Source organism: Homo sapiens, chromosome 5, assembly GCF_000001405.40.
Source record: "Homo sapiens chromosome 5, GRCh38.p14 Primary Assembly".
Taxonomy (NCBI): domain Eukaryota; kingdom Metazoa; phylum Chordata; class Mammalia; order Primates; family Hominidae; genus Homo; species Homo sapiens.
This window is the reverse complement of record NC_000005.10, coordinates 83,341,962-83,357,536: the sequence shown is the minus strand read 5'-3', so window position 1 is coordinate 83,357,536 and position 15,575 is coordinate 83,341,962. Positions and strand designations below refer to the sequence as shown.

Here is a 15,575-nt window from a genome sequence, read left to right as displayed (position 1 = left end):
CACCCAAACCCAGCCCCAGTACCTTCTGTATTCTCATGTGATCCGAGGAAGATAGTCGCATCCTCAGCCCACTCTCCAACCCCCCCGATTTCTCATAATCTCTTAATTGAATCTTTTATGGATTCTTATCCATACCTTTAAATTTTGTGTTCTTTTTATACCATCTGGACTACCACTCCTTCATATTATAGTTCATTACATAGTAGTTTCATGTGTAAAACTCAATGCAATCCCCTCCCATATACTCCATTCTTTTCATTTCTAGAATATAACCTCAACAGAAACAGGACACTTGTCTGTGCTATTCACTGCCACATCTAGTGTCCAGAACAGAGACTGGCAAAAATACTTACAAATATTTGTTGAAAGGATCGATTTATCCTTTAATTTTTCACATGGCCCAGTTCTGTATTTTGTGCATAGCTGATCCTTAATAAACATTTGTTGAATCAAACTTGCCCAATAAAGAGCTGCTTGGCTCAAAAACACAGGGTCCTGTATTTTACAAATCTGAGTTATAGGCCATTCAGAAAAACTTTTCCAAAGTAGTTTCTTGACCTTTTAAAACCACATAATAAAGACATCTCTTGAGAGGGGATTTTTTTTTCTTTCATTAACTTCTGTAATGAGGCTGGAGCCATACCATCTGATGCAAGGGCCAAAAATTATACATTTTAAGATGAAAAAACCTTCAGAAATGTAATCTCCTTATCTTAGAGGTGAGGATGATAAGGTCAAAAAAGCCATGCTGCATTGTAACTCAATTTCTGTGCCTTCCATTTCAGCATTCTGCAACAATGTTTAGAGTATAGACAATTAAAAAAATGTGAGGAGAAAACGTGGTATGGAATAATAGGATCTGGACATGTTTACACCAGATCTGTAGATCTCTGTCTATATAAGGTAAGAAATATAAAAAACCACGTCTTCAATTTCTCCACATGAGATATAAATAGGAACCCAAGATTATAGGCTTATTATGTTCTGTTCTAACCAACTCAATCAATCTGACACACAGCAATGATTGAAAAGATCAGCTGCCTTAGAAAAATATAAACAAACATTTTCTAAATATTATGACCTTTATAGACTTGTTATTATTACTTGGGAAATACCTTCCCTACATCTCTTATCACCAGGGAGTTAATAGCCAAAAGATAAGAAAATTTCTTCTCTTTCACTATATCTATATATATAGATAGATAGATAGACACATATACACACATATACAGTTGTATACTAATTTTGGTTAGTCATTTGTGGTCTATTCAGGTGAGATAATATTATTTTGAGATTTTGGTATTTCACATACAAAATCACTTTGGAAAGATACAGGGTAAATCTAGGATAGTGCTAAGTTCAGTATTACAGTGAAGTTCCAAAGTGACTGAGTAGAATTTGATAGTTTATAATTATATATTTAAATTTCATATATTTAAAAGTTTTTTTCCTTTTGCATATAAGCCATCAAATAAATTAAAATGTAGGAAAATTTCTATTTAAAATATTTTGCTATCCCATTGACTTAGTCAAATCCTTTTCCTGATTAATAGTGTATGTGTGTAATTTTTTTCTTATTCTCTCTCTACTGTCAAACCTGGCAGGCTGCAGTGGCTCATGCCTGTAATCCTAGCACTTTGGGAGGCCGAGGTGGGCGGATCACTTGAGGTTAGGAGGTTGAGACCAGCCTGGCCAACATGGCCAAACCCCATCTCTACTAAAAATACAAAAAATTAGCCGGGTGTGGTGGCACATGCCTGTAAAAACTACCTGGGTGTCTGAGGCACAAGAATCTCTTGAACCAGGGAGGCAGAGGTTGCAGTGAGCTGTGATCACACCACTGTACTCCAGCCTGGGTGATGGTGTGAGGCTCTGTCTCAAACAAAACAAAACAAAACACCTATGTGCATGCATATATATACCTATTATTTACCATTATTCACAAAGAGTACTTGAGCTTTCTGAATAATTATTTCTTTGTATCAAGTCATCCAGCTAAATTTCAATCTTTCAATCCTTTCAAAATGGTTTAGTAAGTAAAGAAACTTTCGAGTGCCTACTATGTGATAAACATGCATTCTTTCATTCAACAAACACTAATTAAGCTTCTATGAACCTTGCTCTTAGTACTGGGGATAGAGAGGTAAAGCAGATGGCCATGTTTCTGCTGTGATAGGGCTTATGTTCCACCGGGAGAGGAGACATGAAAAAGTAATTCGAGAGAGTGATATGCATAATGGAAAAAACCTTTTAATGGGACAGAGAGTGACTGGGAGGGTGGACAACCCTAAAAAGGGTATTTCAGGGAATGCACCCCTGAGGAGATGACATTTGGTTCTAAATCTGAAAGATAAAGAAACCAACCATGTGAAGCTGAGCATTCCAGGCAGAGAGATTAGCAATACAATGGTTCTGAGCTCTGGCCTACTTGAGAGGCAAGGGGAGTAAAGAGAGAGGGGTGGGAAATCAGGTTGGGGAGGTAAGCAGGGGTGCCATCATATCAAACTTTGTAGGCCAAGGTACAGGTGCAGACTTTTTTCAAAGGGCAATGGTTCATTATTGGTAGGTTTTAATCCAGGTAGGAAAATAATCTTATCTAAGATTTTAAAATTCAGTTTGGCCTCATTGTAGGAGAATAGAAAATTAAGCAGGGAGACCAGTGAGGAAGGAGTGTAGCTGCAGCAGCTGCAGTAGAGAGACACAAAGGGAGAGTCAATTTGTATTTTGGAAGTAAAAATAACAGGATGTGCAAGGAGAAGAAAGCAAAGACACCAAGGAAGATTCCTGGGTTTTTAGCTTGAAGCAACTGCATTGTGGTAGTGAAATTTCCCAAATGGGTAAGACTGGAGAAGAAATGATGGTAAGGATAATCAAATTTCTGCTTTGGATATGCTAAAACATCTAAAGAAAGGTATAAGTAGATAGCTATACTCGTCTGTATTTTATAAAAGATGCCAAGATGTATCAAGATTTAATACAAACAATTTTTAAGAAATCTTAAGAAACTCCTTTTGTGACAAGTTAATGATAAATTATACATACACCCATGTATATCCATGTATATGTATGTACATATAAAATTTGGCTACAAAGAAAACTACGTAATTTTGGAGATATTAACATATAGATGGCATTTAAAATCACAAACGACCTAGAATAACCTAGGGTGACAATGTGGGTAATGAAGAGAAGACGGCTGATAATTAAACCCAGCACACTCAAACTTTTAACTATTGGGCAAAGGAGAAGGCATCAGCCAAAAGGTCTAAACAATTAGTGACTGGAAAGGAGGAATACAAAGAGCATATGCTATTGCAAAAGTCAAGTGAAAATGTTTACTGAGGAGAATCAATCAACTATATCAAATGTGCTGAGAGGCTTAGTAATGTGAGGACTAAGAATGGGTCAACCACTGGATTTAGCAACATGGTGGTCATGGTTAACTCTGATGTTGTTAACTTTGAGTAGCACGGAAGGAATGGATATTAAACAGGTAAGAAGTGAAGAAAGAATGAAAGGTTAAGAAGCAGAAACAGTGACTACAAAGATAATAGTGCCAGATGTTACTGGAGATAAATAGCTATGACAAGGTCCTTGTCTTCAAGAAGGGCCCCTGTATGTGTAAGATAAATCTTTTATCAATAATCCCTGAAAAATATGCTTTTCTTTTGCCACACAGGGGGTTACATTTACATTAATAAGCAGTTTCTAAAAACCTGTTACTTACTAAAATAAAAGTTAACCTAAATAACACATTTTATTAAAAACACAAAATCTTCAATGTATCAAAAATTTTATTATCAGATTTTCACAATGTTTATGTACAAACTAAAATTATATTTTCTACATCATCACACAAATTAAAATGTTCAAACATCAATGTTCAGAATATGTTTGAATACGTCTATTCAAAAAAAGCTGAAGACATTTTAAAATGATGTTTTCTTTGTCCTGTTTTCAAAATCTTCCCAGACAGGATGTTGGACAGCTATCACATATAATATGTGTGAATGAATATGATAAATGTGTCCTTTGCAACAAAAAGTCTCATACAATTTATGTAATTATAGGCATGCTGAATGAATAGTTTAGAATAATGTGCCAGTGTCATCATCAAATCGTATCTTTGTATACATGTGTAATCCATTTTGCACAATGGTTTCAATTCACTGTGTATGTAATTAAATTGTAAGATACGGTAATAGCGGCTGCTGACTTGAAATTCTCCTTTTTCATTTTAAAGAAATGAATAGAAAACATAGTCTAGTGAACATCAAAGTATTTTTTGAGACTGTTAAATCTCATCAAAGAGGTCTTCTGGGCTGCTGTTTCTCAGAGTTTCTAAAGACATGTTTTCAGCTGAGATGTGCTCCTTTTTAGACGTCTCAGGTAGTGAAGAATCAGGCCTAGAACTGAAAAGAAAATCAAAATAGTTTTATTTTTAAAAACTTCTGTTATAGAGTAAAAGAAAATGAAGAGACACATAAGTGAAATGACAGTTAAATCCTGTTTCAAATTGGTTTAGAGATTTATTTCTCTATGCTATTAACTATAAGGAAAGAGATAAAGAGACTAATTTCTCTAACTGCTTTAGAATTAATGTCTCTATTCTGACCTAAGGAAAATTCAAGAACCTATAACAATACTCATAATCAAGGTCAAGAAATAAAATATTCTGTCCTCTGTGCTATAATCACTTTTATGCCAGGATATAGAAGGTTTTTCAAGTTACTCCTTTAATGATTTCATCACAATTTACATTTTACTCTGGCTTTCTTAAATTCTACTGATTAACATGCATTTTAATCTCTTAGCAGCAGAAAGTTTTGGTCACATGAATTACCTTTAGTGGGTCTGATGATCATGTGTATATATGAAAAATAATGATTTTTCACATTTATAGCAGTTGCTGATGAAATGTTGGTCCATAATCATTTATTGAATCTGCATATCTTCATTTAGTAAACTAAATTTTATTCAGGTTCAGTATTGTAGTCACTACTTCAATGGATTGACTGCTATATTTATGTAGATATTTTCTTTGAATCCTAAGATAACAGGCTGACTGCCATGATCACTATTAATTGGTCTTAGGAAGACTGTGCCAGAGAATAACAGAGCTCAATCAGAAGTAAAGCTGTGGAGTGTGTGTTAATATCCTTGTAGAAACCTTGTCAGTGGTTCTCTATGGAACCTTAATAAAGTATGCTTAATATTATCAATTAGAGGTGGCCTCTGGGGCAATTATGATTAGGTTGAGCTAACCCAGTAATACTTGGTAATACCCCTCTATTTCCAAGTTCAAAGGCGGGGGTAGAGTCACAACACCTTGGTATAGCTGAGAAAGCATGGGACTTGAAGTCAGGAAACACAAGTTTGAACCCAGGTCTATTTCATGTTAGCTATGTAACTTTAGGCAAGTCATTTAAACTAAGTGGGCTTCTATTCTGTCCACTGTAAAACTGAGATATTAGTATTTGTCTAGAGGTGGTCTAAAGATGAAATGAGTTGATGTAAATGTAAATGCTTGTAAATTCCCACAAAGAATTTGGAAACTATTATTATTACCTGCTAATACCCCATAAACTATGTAAGAGTTTCGTTAACAGCAGAGAAGAATAACCAATGAAAACCCCCAAATATCAAGTGTGTTTAGGTGATGAGTATTTTTAAAAGCCTGCACCCTTACCTAGTTGCACAGATTATTAGAAATGAGTTCTCCTTGGCATCTTGATTAGAGACAATTAACTACAGTTGGCTGCCACTAGACCTGGGACATGTTCTGTCTTATTCTGAGCAAGCCAATTTCAGACAACATCATCACAGGAGTGCCAAGGTGCTAGGCATTAATGCATTCAAGATGACAAGTACTACCCTCTGGGATTTGCGATGTTAAAATTAACAATAAATACAGGCATAATTATTGTAACATGGAATTAAATATCTAAAAATATATTCCAAAGGAGGAGAAAATGATATAGTATGGGATAAAAGTATAATTATTATATATATACATTTTCATTGTCAACTCAAAACACGTTAAACATTTTTCTCTGGCCAAAATGTCTTAGAGTTGCTTGTGCTCCTCCTAGACAAAAGAGATAACTGAACTATCTCAATTAAAAGTAAGAAATGGAAAAACAAGCAAGGTGAATACAATAAATGGTGCATGGAAAACTGGCTAGCCATTTGCAGAAGATTGAAACTGTGCCCCTATGTATTAGTCCATTCTTGTATTGCTATAAAGAACTACCTGAGACTGGGTAATTTATAAAGAAAAGAGGTTTAATTGGCTCACAGTTCCACAGGCTGTACAGGAAACATGGCTGAGAAGCCTCACGGTAGAAGGTGAAAGGGAAGCAGGCCCGTCTTACATGGCCGGAGAAGGAGGAAGCGGGGGGTAAGATGCCACACATTTTTAAACCAGATCTCATGAGAACTCACTCACTATCATGAGAATGGCAAGGGGGAAATCTGTCTCCAGGATCCAATAACCTCCCACCAGGCCCCTTCTTCAAGATTGAGGATTACAATTAGACATGAGATTTGGGTGGGGACACCAATCCAAACCATATTGCCCTACCTTTCAACATATACAAACATTAACTCAAGATGGCTTAAAAATTTAAATGTAAGATTTCAAACTATAAAAAACTTAGAAGAAAACCTAGGAAATACCCTTCTCAACACTGTCCTTGGCAAAGAATTTTTGGCCAAGTCCCCAAAAGCAACTGCAACAAAAACAAAAATTGACAAGAGGGACCTAATTAAACTGAAGAGTTTCTACACAGCAAAAGAAACTATCAACAAAGTAAAGAGTCAGCTTACAGAATAGGAGAAAATATCCTCAAAATATGCATCTGTCAAAAGTCTAATATCCAGAATCTATATGGAACTTAAATCAACAAGCAAAAAGCAAATCACCCCATTAATAAATGGGCAAAGGACATGAACAGACACTTCTCAAGAGAAGACACACAAGCAACCAACAAACATATGAAAAAAAAATGCTACACATCACTAGTCATCAGAGAAATGCAAATCAAAGCCACAATGAGATACCATCTAACACCAATCAGAATGCCTGTTATTAAAAAGTCAAATAATAATATATGCTGGAGAGGCTGCAGAGAAAAGGGGACACTTATACATTGTTGGTGGGAATGTAAATGACTTCAGCCACAGTGGAAAGTAGTTTGGAGATTTGTCAAAGGACTTAAAACATAACTATCATCCAATCCAGCAATCCCGTTACTGGGCATATACCTCCCAAAAAACCCAAAGTGTTCTGCCAAAAAGACACATGCACTGGCATGTTCATTGCAGCACTATTCACAACAGCAAAGACATGGAATCAACCTAGGTGGCCATAATTGGTGGACTGGGTAAAGAAAATATATTACATATACACTATGGAATACTACACAGCCACCAAAAAGAATGAAATAATGTCCTTTGCAGCAACATGGATGCAGCTGGAGGCCATAATTCAGAGCAAATTAATGCAGGAACAGAACACCAAATACCTGTGTTCTCACTTATAAGTGAGAGCTAAACATTGGGTATACATGGACATAAAGATGGAAACAATAGACACTGGGGATTACTACATGGGGAAGGGAAGGAGGGGTCATGGGTTGAAAAACTACCTATTGGGTACTATGCTCAATACTTGGGTGATGAGATCCCTATCCTAAACCTCAGTATCATGCAATACACCCCTGTAACAAACCCGCACATGTACCCCCTGTATCTAAAATAAAAGCTGAAATCATATTTAAAAAGTCAGACATGGAAAGATCTCTGTAATTGTGTCCATTGTTTAGATACTGTGAACCAGAACACAGAGATCTATCAATTTTGTTTTAAAAAAATCAGCATATGACCAAAGGACCACTCTGAAGTGACCAGACTGAAGGATAAATAGATTCCTGGTGCTCCACTTATAATTTACATTTCCTTCTGATGTCATGAGGGGCTTAAGAAATAGATTTTGACCCCTGTTCATAGTGCCTAGTCATAACAGGTACTCAGTAAAAGTTGTCCCGAATGGAGATCATTGAGCTTTTATATCTATGGCAAGTCAATAGAGTAAATTTAGAACTCTCTCCACAACTCTTAAAAAAGTTTTATTATTTTTACAGGTAGTAAATGTTTATTGTTAGACTTTTTGTAAATTCTGAAAAGCATAAAAAAGAACACAAAAATGTTGATATGGTTTGGCTTTGTGTCCCCACCTGAATCTCTTTTTGAACTGTAATCCTCAATGTTGGAGGAGGGGCCTGTTGGGAGGTGATTGGATCACGGGGGTGGACTTCTCCCTTGCTATTCTTGTGATAGTATGTGTGTAACCAGAGAAGTGGGGCATTGCTATAAAGGTATCTGAAAATATAGAAGCAACTTTGGAACTGGGTAATAAGTAGAGGTTGGAACAGTTTGGAGGGGTTGGAAGAAGATAGGAAGATGAGGGAAAGTTTGGAACTTCCTAGAGACTTGTTAAATTGTTGTGACCAAAATGCTGATGGTGATATGGACAATAAAGTCCAGGCTGAGGTGGTCTCAGATGGAGATAAGGAAGTTATTGGGAACTGGAGTAGAGGTCACTCTTGCTATGCTTTTCTGGTGGAAGAAATTTCTAAGCAGCAAAGCATTCAAGGTGTGGCCTGCTGCTTCTAAAAGCCTACTCTCATCTGTATGAACAAAGAAATGACCTGAAATTGGAACTTATATTTAAAAGGAAAGCAGAATATTAAAGTTTGAAAATTTTGCAGCCTAGCCATATGGTAGAAAAGAAAAACCCATTTTCTGGGGAGGAATTCAAGGCTGCAGAAATTTGCGCAAGTAAACAGGAGCCAAATGTTAATAATCAAGACAGTGCCTCCAAGGCATTTCAGAGATCTTCATGGCAGCCCCTCCCATCACAGGCCAGGAGGCCTAGGAGGGCAGAATGGTTTTGTGGGCCAGCCCAAGGGCCCTGCTACACTGTGCAGTCTTGGGACATGGCACCCTGCATTGTGGCTGCTCCCGCTCCAGCTGTGGCTAAAAGGGGCCAACATGCAGCTTGGGCCATTGCTTCAGAGGGTGCAAGCCTCAAGCCTTGGTGTCTTCCATGTGGTGTTAAGCCTGCAGATGTGCAGAGTGCAAGAGCTGAGGCTTGAGAACCTCCACCTAGGTTTCAGTGGATGTATGGAAATGCATGGATGTCCAGGCAGAAGTCTGCTGCAGGGGTAGAGTCCTCTTGGAGAACCTCTACTAGGGCAGTGTGGATAGAAAGAAAATGTGTGGTTGGAGCCCTCAAAGGGACACTGCCTAATGGAACTGTGAGAAGACAGCCACCATCCTCCAGACCACAGAATGGCAGATCCATCATCAGCTTGCGCCATGCATCTGGAAAAGCTGCAGGCACTCAATACCAGCCTATGAAAGCAGCCATGGGGGCTGTACCCTGGAGAGCCACAGGGGCAGAGTTTCCCAAGGACTTAGGAGTCTACCCCTTGCATCACTGTGCCCTGGATGTGAGACATGGAGTCAAAGGAGATTATCTGGGAGCTTTTAGATTTAATGACTGCCATGCTGGTTTTCGGACTTGCATGGGGCCTGTAGCCCCTTTGTTTTAGCCAATTTCTCTCACTTAGAATAGGAGAACTTACCCAATGCTTGTAATCCCATTGTATCTTGGAAGAAACTAGCTTGGTTTTGATTTTATAGGCTCGTAGGTCGAAGAGACTTGCCTTGTCTCACATGAGACCTTGGACTTGAACTTTTGAGTTAACACTGGAATGAGTTAAGATTTTGGGGGACTCTTGGCAATGCATGATCATGTTTTGAAATGTGAGAAGGGGATGTGGGAGGGGCCAGGGATGGCATGATATGGTTTGGCTTTGTGTCTGCACCCAAATCTCATGTTGAAGTGTAATCCCCAATGTTGGAGGAGTGGCCTGGTGGGAAGTGACTGGATCATGGGGGCAGACATCCCCCTTGCTGTTCTCACGATAGTGTGTGAGTTCTCATGAGATCTCATTGTTTAAAAGTGTGTAGCACTTCCCCTTTTGCTCTCTCTCTCCTGCCAGTCATGTGAAGATGTGTCTGCTTCCCTTTTGCCTTCCACCATGATTGTAAGTTTCCTGAGGCCTCCCCAGCAGCATAAGCCTGCACACCCTACAGAACTGTGAGCCAATTAAACCTCTTTTCTTTATAAATTACCCAGTCTCAGACATGTCTTTATAGCAGTGTGAAAAAAGACGAATACAAATGTCTACTATCCTATTTTGCATTACTTGTACATTCACAGCCTTTTTTTTACAAAAATGTGATCATTCTACACATTTATAGTTTTGCAGCTTGATATTTTTACTCTATAATATATTAGAGATGTATTTTCATGTTGAAAAATTTAGATCTACATTCATCATTGATTTTAATTTTGATGTACTATTAGTTCACTGATAGAGGTTTGGGTTGGTTCAATTTTTAAATGCCCTTATAAACTAGACAATTAGTATCCTTATACATATATCTTAGCATATTTATCATATTTTTTTCATGAACATGCCTTCTCCAAGAAATCACGCTTAGAGGTATAATTTGAAGTAAACAACTCAGAGAACCTGTATCTAAAGTTTTAATGGAAAGTGAGAGAAACAAATAATTAGAAACTTGGGTGTTCTTAATGAAATTATAGCCATTAGTTACAGCTCTGTTTAAATTCTAAACCTTCCACAAGGACTTACTTTTTTTCCATGTTCCTATTTCATTTCATATTTGTAATTTTTATTTCCTCTGGTCATTTACAGTACCTAATATCTGTATCTTATACTTCAACATACAGTTTTGTTTATTTAATCAATACTGTACTTGTTGATTATACACTATGAACAGCTCACTGTGTTAGGAAAATAGAACAAATATAAGTGTTACTCCTGCTCTCAGAAAGCTTTAAGTTAAACATTTACTTTACCTAATGTTTTCAAGTGTGTCTTTTTATCTTAAAAATGTTATAAATAGCTTGAAGGTAACACCTAAATGACATAATTTGTTCACAAAGCGTGACTTATCCTTTTAGACATCTCTATAAATATTATATCAATATTTAACATTCAGGTATATGTTCGGATAGTTTTCTGTGGGCAACGTGGTTCAATAGGGGATATTCTGAATCTAGATATTCTGAATCTCAATAGAAATTTTGGTCAGGTCACTGCTGGACCTCAGTTTCTTCATTTGTGGAAGGTTGAGGTTATTATAAGTGATCTTAGAGCTCTTCCAGTTCCTGAATCTGAATTTGTTATGTTTGAATAGTTCAGCATAGACTACTTTGCAAAATACAGGCTCTCAAGAAATATTTGTGGAATAAATGATTAATGTGAATTAAAGAGGAAACATTAATGACAGAATAAGAAACTAAAGTTACAGGCTAAAGCCTAAGTCTTTTTTCAAATAAAGAGAATATAATGAAACTTCTCCAGATGATACTCTCACTAAAACGTGGTGTATATTCTCAAAAATATAGTTGCAGAGATTCCTATGTTCTATTAGTTTAATTTCATACTGTGTTAAAACACACACACACAGGCACACACATACACAAACTACAACTTGAATAAAAATTGCACTACATCATCTAATTAACTATGAACATTATAGATCAAAAGCTAGATTTATTAAAAAGAAAGTCTAATCCAGGGAAAGTTTCTCTAAAAATGTTAGAATAAATTATTGACTTCTCTTTTAACTTTATAGGAGTTAAATTAGTAACATCCTTAAAATGATATTTATCTCATTTTGTAAAGACATTTTCTCAGCCAAGTTTAAAATGGTATCACTACGGCCGGAATAGCAATCGCTTCCTATTCAAACGAGAAGCATTAGTATTGTTTAGAGTGACTTATGTTTTATAACATGTTCTGAGAGTAATATTTCTGAAATACGTCAAGGTGTCAACCTGTGCAAACAGAGAGATCTGGGAAAATGAATAGTGATTGATGGCGCCATAACACTTGAAGAATCATGCTTGTTTTGACTTTTGACAAAAACAATGATTTTAAATTTAAAAACTCAACTGTTATTTTAAATAACTAATTTTTTGAGGCCTAACTATATTTCTACCTATACAACACATATACAATTCAATTTTTTTGTGTGTCAGAAGTCAAACAAGCATGATTCCAGGTGAATTAAACACTTAAGTGAGAAAGGCAAAACTTTAAAGCTTTTAGAAGAAAATAAAGGGGAATGTCTTTATTACCTTGAAATAAGAAAGTTTATTCAAGGCAGAAATTGAAAACCATTAAGATAAAGATTGATACACTGAATTGCATTTGAAGTAAGTACTTCTGTTTATCAACAGATACCTTAAAGAGAATGAAATGACAAGTCACAAACTGTGAGGAGATACTGCGACATATGCTAGTAACAAAGAATATCCAAAGAACTCCTATTAACAATGTTTTAAAAGCCAAAACATATGCCAAAGACTATAGGAACTTCCAAAAAGAGGAAACAATGGAGGTAAAGAAACATATGATAATAAGCTCAACTTCATTAGCGACCAAGGAAATGCAAATTAAAGCCAGTGTGAAATATTTTACACCAGATTAGCAAAAATTAAAATGTACAATAATATCAAATATTTTGGAGGATGTGGAATAACTAGATAAATTCTTGCTGGTAGGAGTGCAAATGTTTGAAACCATTTTATAAAACAATTTGGTAGTAACTGTCAAGGTATATGAAGGTATATGTACCTATAACCTAGGAATTCTACTCATAGGTACATTCCCTTGAGAAACATTTGCATATGTGTATCAGGAGATAGGTACACAATCATAGATGCATTGTTTGCAACAGTGAAAAGCAAGAACTACCCAAATGTCTCTCCAAAGGAAAATAGGGGAATTAATTATTAAATTTTCATATAATGGACTAGATTATACAGTTATACACATACATGAATCTTAAGCATAATGTTGAGCAAAAGAGCAAGGCTCACACTTGTATCCTAACACTTTGGGAGGCTGAGGCGGGAGGATCATTTGAGCCTAGTAGTATGAGAAGTATGAGACCATATTACTGGGCAAGACAGTGAGACTCTGTCTCTACAAAAAAAAAAAAAAAAAAAAAAAGTGAAAAATAAATTAGCTGGGTGTGGTGGTACACATCTGTAGTGCTAGCTACTCAAGAGGCTGAAGCAGGAGGATCCCTTGAACCTAGGAGTTTGAGGATGCAGTGAACTATGATCATGCCATTGCACTCCAGCCTGGGTGACAGAGTGAGACCCCATCTCTTAAAAAAAATACACACATTTAAATAAATGATTATATTTATTTAAATTTCAAAACCATGCAAAACTATGCAATATTACTCTTTGAACAACGAAGTGTGTGTGTGTGTGTGTGTGTGTGTGTGTGAGATCTGTGTCAGTGTATCTGTGTATGTACATACATAATACTTTTGGATCTGATCTGCTATTTCATGAGAGAATGGTTCTGGATCTTATTATTTCTCTTCCATGACAATATTCTCAGAATTCTAGATTTTGTAGCTTTGGCTATTGTGAAGATGGTGACATGGAAGAGGAGAAGGTTTAGTATTAGGCATAAAGACTTCAGTTTCAGACATAACGGGTAAGTCTGAGTGCCTGAAGGATATCCAAATGCAGATATATTTTGAGTAGGTTAACAAATACCAAGGTATAGGACTCAGGAGAGATGTTTGGACTAGATGAACCAAGACAGCAGTCATTGCTATAAGGCAACTGGGTGAGTTGAAATGATCACCCAGAGAAGAGACCATCAGAGAGAAAAGGTTTAGCAAGAAATAGTGGAGAATATTAAAATTGTAGGGACAGACAGCTAGAGAAAGAAATGAGTCAAAAAAGGAACGACTCTAAAAATGAGTAAAACCAGGGAGGAGTGTTGTACAGAAGCCAAGGGCCAAGTTTACTTTGTGTGCCCACAGCTTGTGCTGTTTCCACTTGCCACCCAAACACTGGCTCTCTATTCAACTCTGACTGACAAACCTGTAAATACACTTTAGGCTAATGAGTCTCACCCACTATAAATTATCTGGAGTTGAGAAGAATAGCCTGGAAGAATACTGCTATGTTCATGATTTATTACAGACAAGAAGAACAGGCGATGTTTTCTTTTGGGGAGAATGAAGTCTCAAATTCTTGGACTGCAGCAGTCACAGCAAAAATCCAGCAAATGGTCAATTCCTGCCTATCCACCATGGCAGGGCATTCTGAGGCAGCTGTTTTACTCATGTTAAAATAACAAAAGTATATACATCTTTGTTTTATCACAAACTTCCCTGGCATTCATCCTCCTCATCACCGATGACGACGAGGGTAAAGCTCAGATATGGGGCAAGGGATGAAGATGAGGGGTAAGGTAAGGGCACTGTACAAATTGAGAATCCATCCTAAGCACTGGCTGGGGCACACATCATTTGGTTAAAAAAAAAAAAGTCAAATATTTTACGGTTTGTTTTTAGGACATATCAAATCAAACCTTAATCGAAATGACCTTAAAAAACAGCCAAATCAAAATATCAGGTACTTGCTGATATTAAGTAACTAAGCAGCTATCAGATTGACCTTAACAGAATTCCCATTATGAAATAAACTCAATTATGGAAACACTTCTTAAATGGAAAAGTTTTAAATAATGTGCTTAAAGACTTGACATCACCAAAGTTACCACTGTATTTTCAAATTTTAAATGTTAGTATTAAAAAAAATTTGATCTTAGAATAAGTGGGAAAAGTAGCCTACAAATTTCTAGTTGACCTTATAAAAACCAAAACCATCTCCTAAATAAATTAACAGACTGAAGTCATCCAGATTCAGTAAAACCAGTGCTGAACATTGCCTGGAATTCACTAGGCCTACACGTCATTTCGTTGGCCTAGAAAATAAAAAGAGAAGCTGAAACTTTCTGGCAGACAAAATGGCAAATAAAAGAAATTGCATTTGTTATTTTCAGTTAAATTCCTAAAGATATCTTTTTCTAATGAATATGACTTTGCTGTTTAAATTCATCAAGAGCAGGAAGAAGATGGAAATAAAATCAGCAGAATAATAAAGAGTGAATACACTTAATGTTAAAATGAATTGACATGCTTTATAGACATTGGGAAAGGATGAGAAATCTAAAATTTTCCTGTAAAATATACATATATTACAGATTTAAAAATAAGATTATCTGTTCTGGAGAATTCAAATTTTAAAGTCAACCACTAAGGTAAACATATCCAGAATCTACAAGGATGCTGGCCACTTACACAGAAATGTTATAATTTCATAATGACTAAAGATTTTGTTACTCTAGCTGTACTTTATTCAGATAAACAAAATTGTTATGGTAATTCATTAATCAATACCAAAGTACACAGATACTTAAAAAATCAATACCTGAAATGTCCTGCATACATTCCAAGTTTTGAAGTCACATAGGTGACATTTGCTACTGTTGATCTATGCCTATGAAAGTGGAAAACTGTCACGTTGGTGGAAAGTTATTCCTTTAAGACAGGCCAGGTGATCTGTGAGCTGACTGCCGCTTGCTGTGCTACAA

The 15,575-nt window shown here is 36.3% G+C and overlaps 1 protein-coding gene across 8 annotated transcripts in view, besides 1 other annotated feature; it reads right to left on the bottom strand.

Annotated features, from left to right (window-relative positions):
- XRCC4 (X-ray repair cross complementing 4) overlaps positions 1–15,575 on the bottom strand; it is a 296,927-nt gene that overhangs the window by 16,937 nt on the left and 264,415 nt on the right. For 3 of the 8 annotated variants that reach the window (NM_001318012.3, NM_022406.5, XM_011543626.2), the window contains exon 8: positions 3,777–4,412. The exons of 2 other annotated variants lie outside the window; for them this stretch is intronic. In NM_001318012.3, the coding sequence (NP_001304941.1) occupies positions 4,295–4,412 (118 nt within the window). In that variant the 3' untranslated portion in view covers positions 3,777–4,294. Of the gene's footprint in view, positions 1–3,776; positions 4,413–15,575 lie in introns of those variants that run through there. 3 more of the 8 variants (NM_022550.4, NM_003401.5, XM_047417694.1) reach the window with 1 other exon arrangement.
- Positions 2,197–3,139: an enhancer, noted in NCBI's record as "OCT4-NANOG-H3K27ac hESC enhancer chr5:82650217-82651159 (GRCh37/hg19 assembly coordinates)". NCBI's record gives its function as "activates a minimal SCP1, AML or CMV promoter by ChIP-STARR-seq in naive and primed H9 embryonic stem cells {active_cell/tissue: H9 hESC(naive and primed)}" and the evidence as "EXISTENCE:reporter gene assay evidence [ECO:0000049][PMID:30033119]".